This window comes from Homo sapiens, chromosome 7 (assembly GCF_000001405.40).
Source record: "Homo sapiens chromosome 7, GRCh38.p14 Primary Assembly".
Classification (NCBI taxonomy): domain Eukaryota; kingdom Metazoa; phylum Chordata; class Mammalia; order Primates; family Hominidae; genus Homo; species Homo sapiens.
In genome coordinates, this window is record NC_000007.14 from 47,619,245 (window position 1) to 47,630,212 (window position 10,968).

The 10,968-nt window shown below is 50.1% G+C and overlaps 1 long non-coding RNA gene across 1 annotated transcript, besides 1 other annotated feature; it reads left to right on the top strand.

The window, feature by feature from the left end:
* Positions 1 to 2,694: 2,694 nt before the first annotated feature.
* LINC01447 (long intergenic non-protein coding RNA 1447) lies at positions 2,695 to 10,649 on the top strand. The gene is made up of 4 exons (NR_108090.1): positions 2,695 to 3,093; positions 3,868 to 4,490; positions 8,017 to 8,558; positions 9,453 to 10,649. It is a non-coding gene; the product is annotated as a long intergenic non-protein coding RNA 1447 (long non-coding RNA).
* Positions 6,737 to 7,276: an enhancer, noted in NCBI's record as "NANOG-H3K4me1 hESC enhancer chr7:47665579-47666118 (GRCh37/hg19 assembly coordinates)". NCBI's record gives its function as "activates a minimal SCP1, AML or CMV promoter by ChIP-STARR-seq in naive H9 embryonic stem cells {active_cell/tissue: H9 hESC(naive)}" and the evidence as "EXISTENCE:reporter gene assay evidence [ECO:0000049][PMID:30033119]".
* Positions 10,650 to 10,968: the final 319 nt, after the last annotated feature.

Consider the following 10,968-nt stretch of genomic DNA (forward strand, 5'->3'; position numbering starts at 1 on the left):
GAGTTTGGCTGGGGTGGTCAGAGGAGAGCCCAGGCTGCCGTGTGACCCGGCTCCAGGGGAAAACCAATCCACCTTCTGGCTCTCCCATCCGCTGAAAGCTACTTTCACTCAAGAAAACCTTGCATTCATTCTCCAAGCCCACATGTGACACGATTCTTCCAGTACACCAAGGCAAGAACCCAAGATACAGAAAGCTCTCTGTCCTTGCAATAAGGCAAGGGTCTAATTGAGCTAACACAAGTCGCCTATGGATGGCTAAACTACAAGAGCTCTCTGTGACATATGCCCACTGAGGCTTCAGCTGTAAACATTCACCCCTAAGCGCTGCTGTGGGGTTGGAGCCCCACAGCCTGCCCATCTGTATGCTCCCATAGAGGTCTGAGCAGTGGGGCACTGAAGAAGCAAGCCACTCCTCCATCACATGCCCTGCGAGGGGGACAAGGGAACTGTTTCCATTTCACAATCATCTGAATGTTTGTGCCTTCCCAGCCCCCAAATTCATTTTGAAACCCTAACTCCTAAAGTAGTGATATTAAGAGGTGGGGCCTCTGGGAGGTGATTAGGTCTTGAGGATGGAGCCTCATGAATGGGATTAGTGCCCTTAGAAAAGAGACCCCAAAGAGCTCCCTTGGCCCTTCCACCACTGAGGATGGAGCAAGAAAGTACCATCTATGAACCAGAAAGCAGGCCCTCACCAGATACCAAATCTGCTGGCACCTTGATCTTGGACTTCCAGCTTCCAGAACTGTGAGCAATACATTTCTGTTGTCTATAAGCCACCCAGGCTATGGTATTTTGTTACAACAGCCTGAAGGAACAAAGACAGTAAACCACTGGAAGAAAAAGTCTGAGTCTTAGTTATTCATTTGCATCCCCAAAGCCTAGCATACAAGCTAAGTACAATAAATTTCTGTTGAATGAGAAATTTTCTGTATATCTCAAAGCTCATCTGAAGCAGCTGATAAAGGTCTCAGGTTTTTTAAAAAGCTGGAGATATTGGGGTACACCAAGCTACAATAATTCCAGCTGCAGATGTCTCCAGGATTACCTTGTGGGTATTCCATCCATCCGTGTGAAGGCATCATCTCAGCCAGTTCCTGAGCATGTGTCTGTCTTTATAAACAAAAGCAAATAATAAAGCCTAAAGTAAACATCTTTTAAAGACTTAAATATGACTGCTTTTGGATAATTGACCAACTTTTCTGGTCTCCCATGGCCAAGTTGGGGGATAAGGATGCTAAGAACCCTCCTCATGGACCCCATCTACTTCCAGGCCCTCCTCTCTCCATGCTCCCACCCTTGGCTTCAGCCCTGACAACACTGCACAGTCCTGTCTCTCCCCCATATCTTTACCTGCTGGCACGTCCTTCCCCAGCTTGGGATGTGCTTCCTCCCACTCCACTGTGTTGAGCTAACTTCTAGTCTCCCACTGACATTTTCTTTTTTTTTTTGAGACAGAGTCTCACTCTGTTGCTGCCCAGGCTGGAGTGCAGTGGCACAATCTCCTGTTCACTGCAACCTCTGCTTCTCGAGTAGCTGGGACTACAGGCATACACCACCACACCCAGCCAGTTTTTGTATTTTTAGTAGAGACAGCTTCACCATGTTGACCAGGCTGGTCTGGAACTCCTGACCTCAAGTGATCCACCCACCTTGGCCTCCCAAAGTGCTGGGATTACAGATGTGAGCCACGGTGCCCGGCCCCTCCTGTTGACATTTGACTGCAGCTTCCCTTCTCCTGCCCCAGGCTGACGTCCATGTCCACCTCCTGGGCTCCCACTGACTTGCACTGAGCCGCAGATTCACCCGCATGGTGGTCTACAGACTCGCCTGCACGCAGGAGGACATCAGGCACCTTGCTTGCTGCATGGGGAGAATCACACAGGAGCCCAGGAGGGCAGCAGCTCCAGGACCTGGTGTCCTTCCTGTGGTTCTTGTTGAACATCTTGGGCTGGCTTCTCATGGTGATGGAGAAGCTTGTAGCAGCTCTGGCCTTCCCACCCTCACAACAATGGCCAGGGGCCATAGAAGATGTGTCCTGTCCCTGATCACACAGTCAAGGTGAGGAAAATATCCCCAGAGGCCACTACAGCAGACTTACCTCTATTTGTTCATAGCGCGCGAGGGGCTGAGTGAGCCCCACACCCCGAGCCACAGAACCACAAGTTCCTGAACAAAACTGGGTTATCTTAGCAAGGAACGAAGTGATGGCTGTGAGACAGGCCACCGGTGGCCGCGTCACAGAGCCTTGGGGACAGTGGAGCCAGCCAGGGTGTGGGGCCAAACAGTAATGGTAGGAGAACTTGTCTCAGGCCTCGGTGCAGCCCAGCCAGTTACCCAACAAGGCCCAGGGCTGGCAAGAAGCAGGACTTGAAAGAGGGTCATACAGGGTGGGGCCAGAGCTCCGTAAATCCCCCTAGGGAAGGACACATTTATTTCCTACTGGCGCAGCAAGTTGTGGGATCAAGAAGATTGAAGAAAAGGTTCCCTGTCCCCCTCGCAGGGTGTGTGATGGGGTTGTGGTTCACTGCTTCAGTGTCCCACTGCTCAAACCTCTAGGGGAGTGTACAGATGGGCAGGTTGCGGGGCTCCGACCCCACAGCAGCCTCTAGGGATCAATGTTTACAGCTCCTGAAGCCCCAGTGGGCATGTGTTACAGGGAGCTCTTTTAGTTCAGCCGTCCGTAGGCGGCTTGTGTTAATCAGCTCAATTAGACTCCCTTCCTTATCACACGGACAGAGGGCTTTCTGTATCCTGGGGTTTCTTGTCTTGGTGTACCGGAAGAATTGGATCATGGGTGGGCTTGGAGAATGAGTGCAAGGTTCTATTGAGTAGAAGTAGCCCTCAGCAGATGGGGGAGCCAGAAGGGAGATGGTTTTTGCCTGCAGTCAGGCCACTTGGCCGCCCCAGCTCTCCTCTGACTGCTCCAGCCAAACTCCGCCTCATTCTGCCAGTCGATGGCCAGCATGTCGGCATCTGTTGATGTGCTCTTCTGCTGGCATGCTCCCTCGACGTTCTCTCAATATCCGGCCGCCTGTGTCTTCTTCTGCTGATCTGCTCCTCTCCACATCCAGCGGCTTGTGTGTCTGCCTGGTAGGGTCTTGGGGTTTTTTATAGGCACAGGATGGGGGCGTGGCAGGCCAGGGTGGTCTCAGGAAATGCAACATTTGCATGCAAAGGCAGGAGCGGTTGTCCTCACCTAGGTCTGTGGGGGTGGAGCCCTAACCAGGGATCATGCCCTCCTATACCCAGCACTTCCCTTTCCCCTTCCGTATCATTTAAAGGGACCACACTCTTCCCTTCCCAGCACTTCCGTATCAATTGGGGCAGAGGGCTCCATAGGCAAGGCCTTCCCTCAAACAGTGCTGATGTCTGAAGAGTTCATCTTGAGTTGAACTGGAGAGATGCTGTCTTCTTTTAGTTGTTCTGTTGTCCCTCTCTAACTTCCTTCCTTCCTCTCTACATGTATCTCCTTCCATCTCTCCCCATCCCACTTCCTCTCTTCCACTTCTCTCTCTCCCTCCCTTCCTGTCTCCATTCCCTCCCACCTCCCTCCCTCTCTCCCTTCCTCTGTCTCTCCAGCTTTCTCTCTTTCCATTTTTCTCTTTCTCCCTCCTCCCCCTTCCTCTACCACCCCTTCTTTCCCTCCCTTCCCCCCCAACCTTCCTCTCTCTCTTCTTCTCTCCCTCTCTCTCTATCTCCTACTTTATCTTCCAGTCCAAACACTGTGCAGGCTGCCAAATATTAACATGGAAGGAATGTTATGCTAACTCTTTTCAGCATTGGGAATTCATTAGACTCAGGCCCTCTTAGATCTTTCTCTCAAACTTTGAGTTTTTAAAAACATCTTTTTTTGCTCCCCCACAGATGAGGTCAGGAAGTGGCTAAGAAGAGATCCATGAAGATTAACATTCAGTGCTCAATTTCTGAAGGAAACAGGGAGTGAAAGGCCGTGGAAGAAAACAGGGCTGCCACGAACATGCTCTTGGCTGTTTGAAAAGATCCAGCGCAGCTTGAACTTCAAAAATAACTCCATTCACTATGGTTGCAGTTGGGCTTGGGGAATTTCTCACAATCAAAAGCAGCTGCTTCATCTCATTTAGCCATTAGGCTGAGCTCCACAGGCTCGCTGCAGGATCTTAGAGCCTACAAGGCCCTGCTAAGAGTAGCCGCGTTTTCCAGCATGCAGTAGATCAGCGAGTGTTTACATTTGTGTTTGGAATGCTCATGAGTCCTTTGGGGCAAAGACTGAGTCATTAATCAGAGCTTTCTATGAACGTATTGCTGCCCAAGCCTCTGTGAATGTGAGTACGGCCTTGTCCCCTGAGTGACGCTGAAAGAGAGTGAAGCACATGTGCTCCATAGGACTGCCACGGCCACCCCTCTCATTCACTTTTCCATTCAGCGCTGAGACTAAGTTTAACTCATTTTTCTTTTGTTGTGAAAAGAGAATGCACACAAAAATTCAAATGTTACCAAATCGATATCAGGTAAGAGACAAAATTTCCCCTCTCTGGTACTCATATTCCCAGTCCATCCTCTCTGAGGTTATAACCTCTGATTGTGCCAGGCATCATTCTAGAATGTCTGAGCATATGCAAATGAGTGTGCATGATGTACATTATATATATATATATTTTAGAAACAGAGTCTTGCTCTGTCGCCCAAGCTGGAGTGCGGTGGTGTGATCTCGGCTCACTGCAAGCTCCACCTCCCGGGTTCACCCACCATTCTCCTGCCTCAGCCTCCCAAGTAGCTGGGACTACAGGCGCCCGCCACCATGCCCAGCTAATTTTTGTATTTTTAGTAGAGACAGGGTTTCACCGCGTTAGCCAGGATGGTCTCGATGTCCTGACCTCATGATCCTCCCGCCTCGGCCTCCCAAAGTGCTGGGATTACAGGCATGAGCCACCGCGCCTGGCCATGATGTATATATTTAATATATGTGTGTGCATGTATGTAAATGTGAGCGTGTACATATGTACATCCATACATACAGATATGCATTCAGAAATATACATACTTATTATATATATATGGTACAGCTTTGAGCAAGCTGAGCCCTGAGGCTCTTCTGAAGGGGAGGCCTTGGCACTGTTTCTGACACTCTATGTTCCTCAGCATTTAGACTAATTAGAGCCTCCTCCGGTATCTAGAGAAGATATAATGCTCCTCTGAAGCATAGGATGAAAAGGGTGACCCCAAAGTCAGGTCTGTGACATAGGCTGGCCCCTGGCTGATGGTCTCATGCCTCCCCCACTGAGTGCCTCCAGACTTTGGAGGCATGGTGATTTGACCCTAGAGTGAGACTCTGTGAGGCCAAATGGGCAATGGAGTTGGGGAAGCCTAAAGCTAGGACTATCCCAATGGCTTAGTCCTTGGCCACTGTCAGCTGGTTCCTTCTAGGGATGCAGACACAATTGTCCAAAATTCTCTAGGAAATGAACTTCTCTCTACCTTTTGAATTTGCAGTTGCTGCACCCAGAAGCCAGCCAGGTGCATGAGGTGGTGCAGAGTGAGAAAGTGGGGCTGGGGCTGGAGGGGAGGAAAGGCAGCACACCTCCCAGCACTCACCATTTTCCAGGCACTGAGCTAGAGTTCCCAAATAAGGAAGTGATGCTTTTCTCTGGAACCCACATTGTGGTGATAAAATGAAACTCCCTATAAATGCTTCAGGGGGCTTTTTCTTGCACTCATTTTCAATAAGTTGCTGTTTTTCCCCATTTAAAAATAAACATGCTTATGATAGACCATTTGGGATACCCAAAGAGAAGGAAGAAAGAAAAGAGTTCTCCCTTGTCTCACCACCCAGAGACAAGTATGTAGATTTGGGGAGATTTTCTTTGCTCAGGTTTTAGATCATGGCCCTTACTTTTTTTTTTTTGAGATAGAGTTTTGCTCATGTTGCCCAGGCTGGAGTGCAGTGGCGCGATCTCGGCTCACTGCAACCTCTTCCTCCTGGGTTCAAGTGATTCTCCTGCCTCAGCCTCCCGAGTAGCTGGGACTACAGGTGCGCACCACCAGATCCAGCTAATTTTTGTATTTTTTTTTTTTTTTTTTAGTGGAGACGGGATTTCACCAGGATGGTCTCAATCTCTTGACCTCATGATCTGCCCGTCTTGGCTTCCCAAAGTGCTGGGATTATAGGCATGAACCACCGCACCCGACCCCTGGCCCTTATGTATTTTTAAGGTCCACTTGAATATGCACTTATAGGAACTCATGCAAGATGATACAATTCTCACTGTTCACCTTCACTGGTATTTGCAATCATCATCTTAAAGTTCAAACAGGAAAGTTTGTGCTAAGTCTTATTAGCTTGAGGGGTTTCATTGACAATTATACATAGATCTTCACAGACTACATTTGAAAGGGGTCCACAAATTGCAAATACTGAATTGTGGCATTTAATTTCCCATGACCCCTGCAGCCTGGCAGCCTTTGTCTCCAGGCTGAGCTGGATACCCCGGTCAGGAGAAAGAGGCTTGGTGCAGAAAGAGGGCTTCCTGACTCCTTTCAGCTGGAGGTAATGGTCCTTTCTCCTTTTCCAAATCTCTCAGGGTTTCTGCTCTGGTCAGAGAAGGATCTAACCCAAAGGAAGGAGGGGAGGCCACCCCTTCTGGGCCTCAGGGGGTGAAGAATGAGAGAGGACCGGGGTGGGAATGGGAGGCATGGGCTGAAAGACACTTGCCCCCTCCCATCTCGGTTCACTGAGGCCCTGCTGACCAAGGGCGCTGCACTAGGCAACAGGATTGGGCCAGGAGGATGCAGAAACACATAGCGCTGGGACTCCTGCTGTGCACAGACAATCAACTGCCAGGCATATTGCCCAGAGATGCAGTGAGAGCAGAGAGAGAAAGGATTTCCACACACCCAGGTATTTGAAGAAGTGATGTTTGCCCTCATCCGTCCTTCTTGGAAGAGCTGGATCTAGAACATAGGTGGGGAGGAGGGGTTTCAAAAGCGCAGCCTGCCCCTGTGCCCCCAAGTCCAAGGTCCCTAGGCAAGCATGGAGCCGCAGTCCTTGCCCTTTACCCTGACCCCTCACCATTCTTCAAGCCACCAGTCATCTGCATAGAGACAGAGGAAAGATTTCACTGAATTTGAGATCAACATTTGAATAGCTGAAAGTGGCTAGAAAGCTAATGGAATACACCTAAACATTGCCAGAGGTGCAAAAGGGAGGGTGGAAAAGCAAGATAGGAAGCAGTGATTGAAAGGAAGCCTTCAAAATACAATTCCTCTTTACGCTCCACTGAGTCATGACAGCACAGTGTTAAGACCGAGGGCCCCATGGATTTGAATCCTTGCTCTATTCTGCTCCAGGTAAGGGACATGGGCAAGTTGCCTACTCTCTTCAGCAAACACCCAGGGCCCCACATTCAATATGGCCACATTAATATCCACATTTTATGAGTGCTGTAATAATTAAATGCAATAATGCAGGGCACGAGGCCCACACACAATACTGCATTTCACTGAAACTAGACTGTGCTATTGGAAAAACGCCTCCTAATTTTAGAGGTGTTCAAATGTGAAAAAATAGTGTGTCTTTGAAATCCATGAAATATAGCAAGAGCTTGGTAAGTTTAAGGTATGAGGTCATTATTTCACTCCATATACAGTCTCTTTTTTTTCTGAAAAATTAGTTGTGGTGGACTTAAATGTAGGTCCATGACTTTTTTTTTTTTTTTTTTTTGAGATGGAGTCTCGCTCTGTAGCCCAGGCTGGGGTACAGTGGCTCGATCTCGGCTCACTGCAAGCTCCGCCTCCCAGGTTCATGCCATTCTCCTGCCTCAGCCTCCTGAGTAGCTGGCACTACAGGCGCCTGCCACCACGCCTGGCTAATTTTTTTGTATTTTTAGTAGGGACGGGGTTTCACCATGTTAACCAGGATGGTCTCCATCTCCTGACCTCGTGATCCTCCCGCCTTGGCCTCCCAAAGTGCTGGGATTACAGGCGTGAGCCACCGTGCCCGGCCAGGCCCATGACTTCTTTGTTATTCCCTCATTAAAGGTTGGAAGCTGATTCCCCTTGCCTGAGTCCGGGCTGTGTTTGGCGATACTTGTAAAGAATGGAATCTGGCTGAGGTGGAGGTGTGTGACTTTGAGGACTAGGTCCAAAGAAGGCATTGTGGTTTCCATCTTGACTGCTCTTTCCCTTGGATAGCTGACTCTTAGGGAAGCCACATGCCACACCATGAGCAGCTCTGCGGAGAGACCCATGCAGCAAGGAAATGAGGCTTCCAGTCAAGAGCTGCATGACTGAATGAACTTGTTACCAAAACACCAGGGGTTTGGTCCAGGTCCTTCTGCTCACCGCATGGAAAGCTCATCACTGAGATGACAAGTATTGCCAAGGAAGGATTTAATCAGGTGCTGCAACCGAGGAGATGGGAGCTCAGTCTCAAATCCATCTTGCTGACCTACTAAAACGAGGGATTTGTATAGCAGGGAAGAAATGAAACAATGTGTAAGAAAACAGCAACTAGGGAGGGGCACGGAAGCAATCATGATGAATGAGGGGGCAGCATCTCATTGTCTGAATGCGGTGATCTGGTGAGTTTCAGTTCTTTGGTACTTTTCTTGAGAGGCCTGAAGTTAGTTTCCTGAGGAAGGAACTCAAGTAAAACAAATGTAAATTTCAAGCCAGAAGGGTGAATTTCTATGTTTATCCGAAAAACTGTCTATGGGACTATTGGGTCAGTTTCAAACTTGGAAGCAATTCTCCAGCCCCAGTTGAGGCTTTAGAGAAGTCAGTGCCAGCCCACAGCCTGACTGCAACCCCTGGAGAGAATCTGAGCTGGAACCACCCAGCTAAGCCTGGTCTGAGTTTCTGCCCCACTGAAACCAAATAATACATTTGGTTGCTTTCAGCTCCTAAGTGACAGGGACACTTAACCGTCATGAGGCAATGTATAACTGATACCCTACTCTACATGAAAAAATCCCATAAATACAGAGTCACGTGCTGCATAATGACTTTTCAGTCAATGATGGACTGCATCAATAATGGTGGTCCCATAATATAATGGAGCTGAAAAACTCCTATTGAGAGGTGACAGTGTGCTGGTAGTCCTCAGAGCCCTCGCTTACTCTTGGCACCTCCTCTGCCTGGGCTCCCACTTTGGCAGCATTTGAGGAGCCCTTCAGCCCACCACTGCACTGTGGGAGCCCCTTTCTGGGCTGGCCAAGGCTGGAGCCCACTCCCTCAGCTTGCAGGGAGGTGTGGAGGGAGAGGCGCGAGCGGGAACCGGGGCTGCGTGCAGCGCTTGCTGGCCAGCTGGAGTTCCGGGTGGGCGTGGGCTTGGCGGGCCCCGCACCCGGAGCAGCCGGCCGGCCCTGCTGGCCCCGGGCAATGAGGGACTTAGCACCCGGGCCAGCGGCTGCGGAGGGTGTACTGGGTCCCCCAGCAGTGCCAGCCCACCAGAGCTGCACTCGATTTCTCGCCAGGCCTTAGCTGCCTTCCCGCGGGGCAGGCCTCGGGACTGCAGCCCACCATGCCTGAGCCTTCCCCCTCCTCCGTGGATTCCTGTGCAGCCGGAGCCTCCCCGACGAGCGCCACCCCCTGCTCCATGGCGCCCAGTCCCATCGACCGCCTAAGGGCTGAAGAGTGCGGGCGCAAGGCACCGGGACTGGCAGGCAGCTCCACCTGCAGCCCCGGTGCGGGATCCACTGGGTGAAGCCAGCTGGACTCCTGAGTCTGGTGGGGCCTTGGAGAACTTTTATGTCTAGCTCAGGGATTGTAAATACACCGATCGGTACTCTGTATCTAGCTCAAGGTTTGTAAACACACCAATCAGCACCCTGTGTCTAGCTCAAGGTTTGTGAGTGCACCAATCGACACTCTGTATCTAGCTGCTCTGGTGGGGCCTTAGAGAACCTTTGCGTGGATACTCTGTATCTAACTAATCTGATAGGGACGTGGAGAACCTTTATATCTAGCTCAGGGATTGTAAACGCACCAATCAGCACCCTGTCAAAACAGACCACTTGGCTCTACCAATCAGCAGGATGTGGGTGGGGCCAGATAAGAGAATAAAAGCAGGCTGCCGGAGCCAGCAGTGGCAACCCACTGGGGTCTCCTTCCACACTGTGGAAAGTTTGTTCTTTCGCTCTTTGCAATAAATCTTGCTGCTGCTCACTTTTTGGGTCCACACTGCTCTTATGAGCTGTAACACTCACCGCGAAAATCTGTAGCTTCATTCCTGAAGCCAGCGAGCCCACGAGCCCACCGGGAAGAACGAACAACTCCAGACGTGCCGCCTTAAGAGCTGTAACACTCACCGCGAAGGTCTGCAGCTTCACTCCTGAGCCAGCGAGACCACTAACCCACCAGAAGGAAGAAACTCCGAACATCAGAAGGAACAAACTCCAGACGCGCCACCTTAAGAGCTGTAACACTCACTGCGAGGGTCCGCGACTTCATTCTTGAAGTCAGTGAAACCAAGAATCCACCAATTCCGGACACACTATCACCCATGAAGAGTAGTTACTGTAACATTGTAGCACACTGCATTACTCAGGTGTTTGTGGGGTTGCTGATGTGAACAAACCTGCATGGCCAGTTGCATAAAAGTATAGCACACACGATTATGTACAGCCCATAATACGTGATAGTGATAATAAATGACTGTTACTGGTTTATGTATTATATGTTTTTTGTTTGTTTGTTTGTTTTTTGACACAAGGTTTGGCTCTGTCACCCTGGCTGGAGTGCAGTGGTGTAATCTCAGCTCACTGCAACCTCTGCCTCCCAGGCTTAAGCCATCCTCCCACCTCAGCCTCCTGAGTAGCTGGAATTACAGGCGGGTGCCATGGCTAACTTTCGTATTTTTTGTGGCGACGGGGTTTTGCCATGTTGCACAGGCTGGTCTTGAACTCATGAGCTTAAGTGATCCACCTGCCTCAGCCTTCCAAAGTGCTGGGATTATAGATGTGAGCCACTGCGGCCGGCATATATATATAT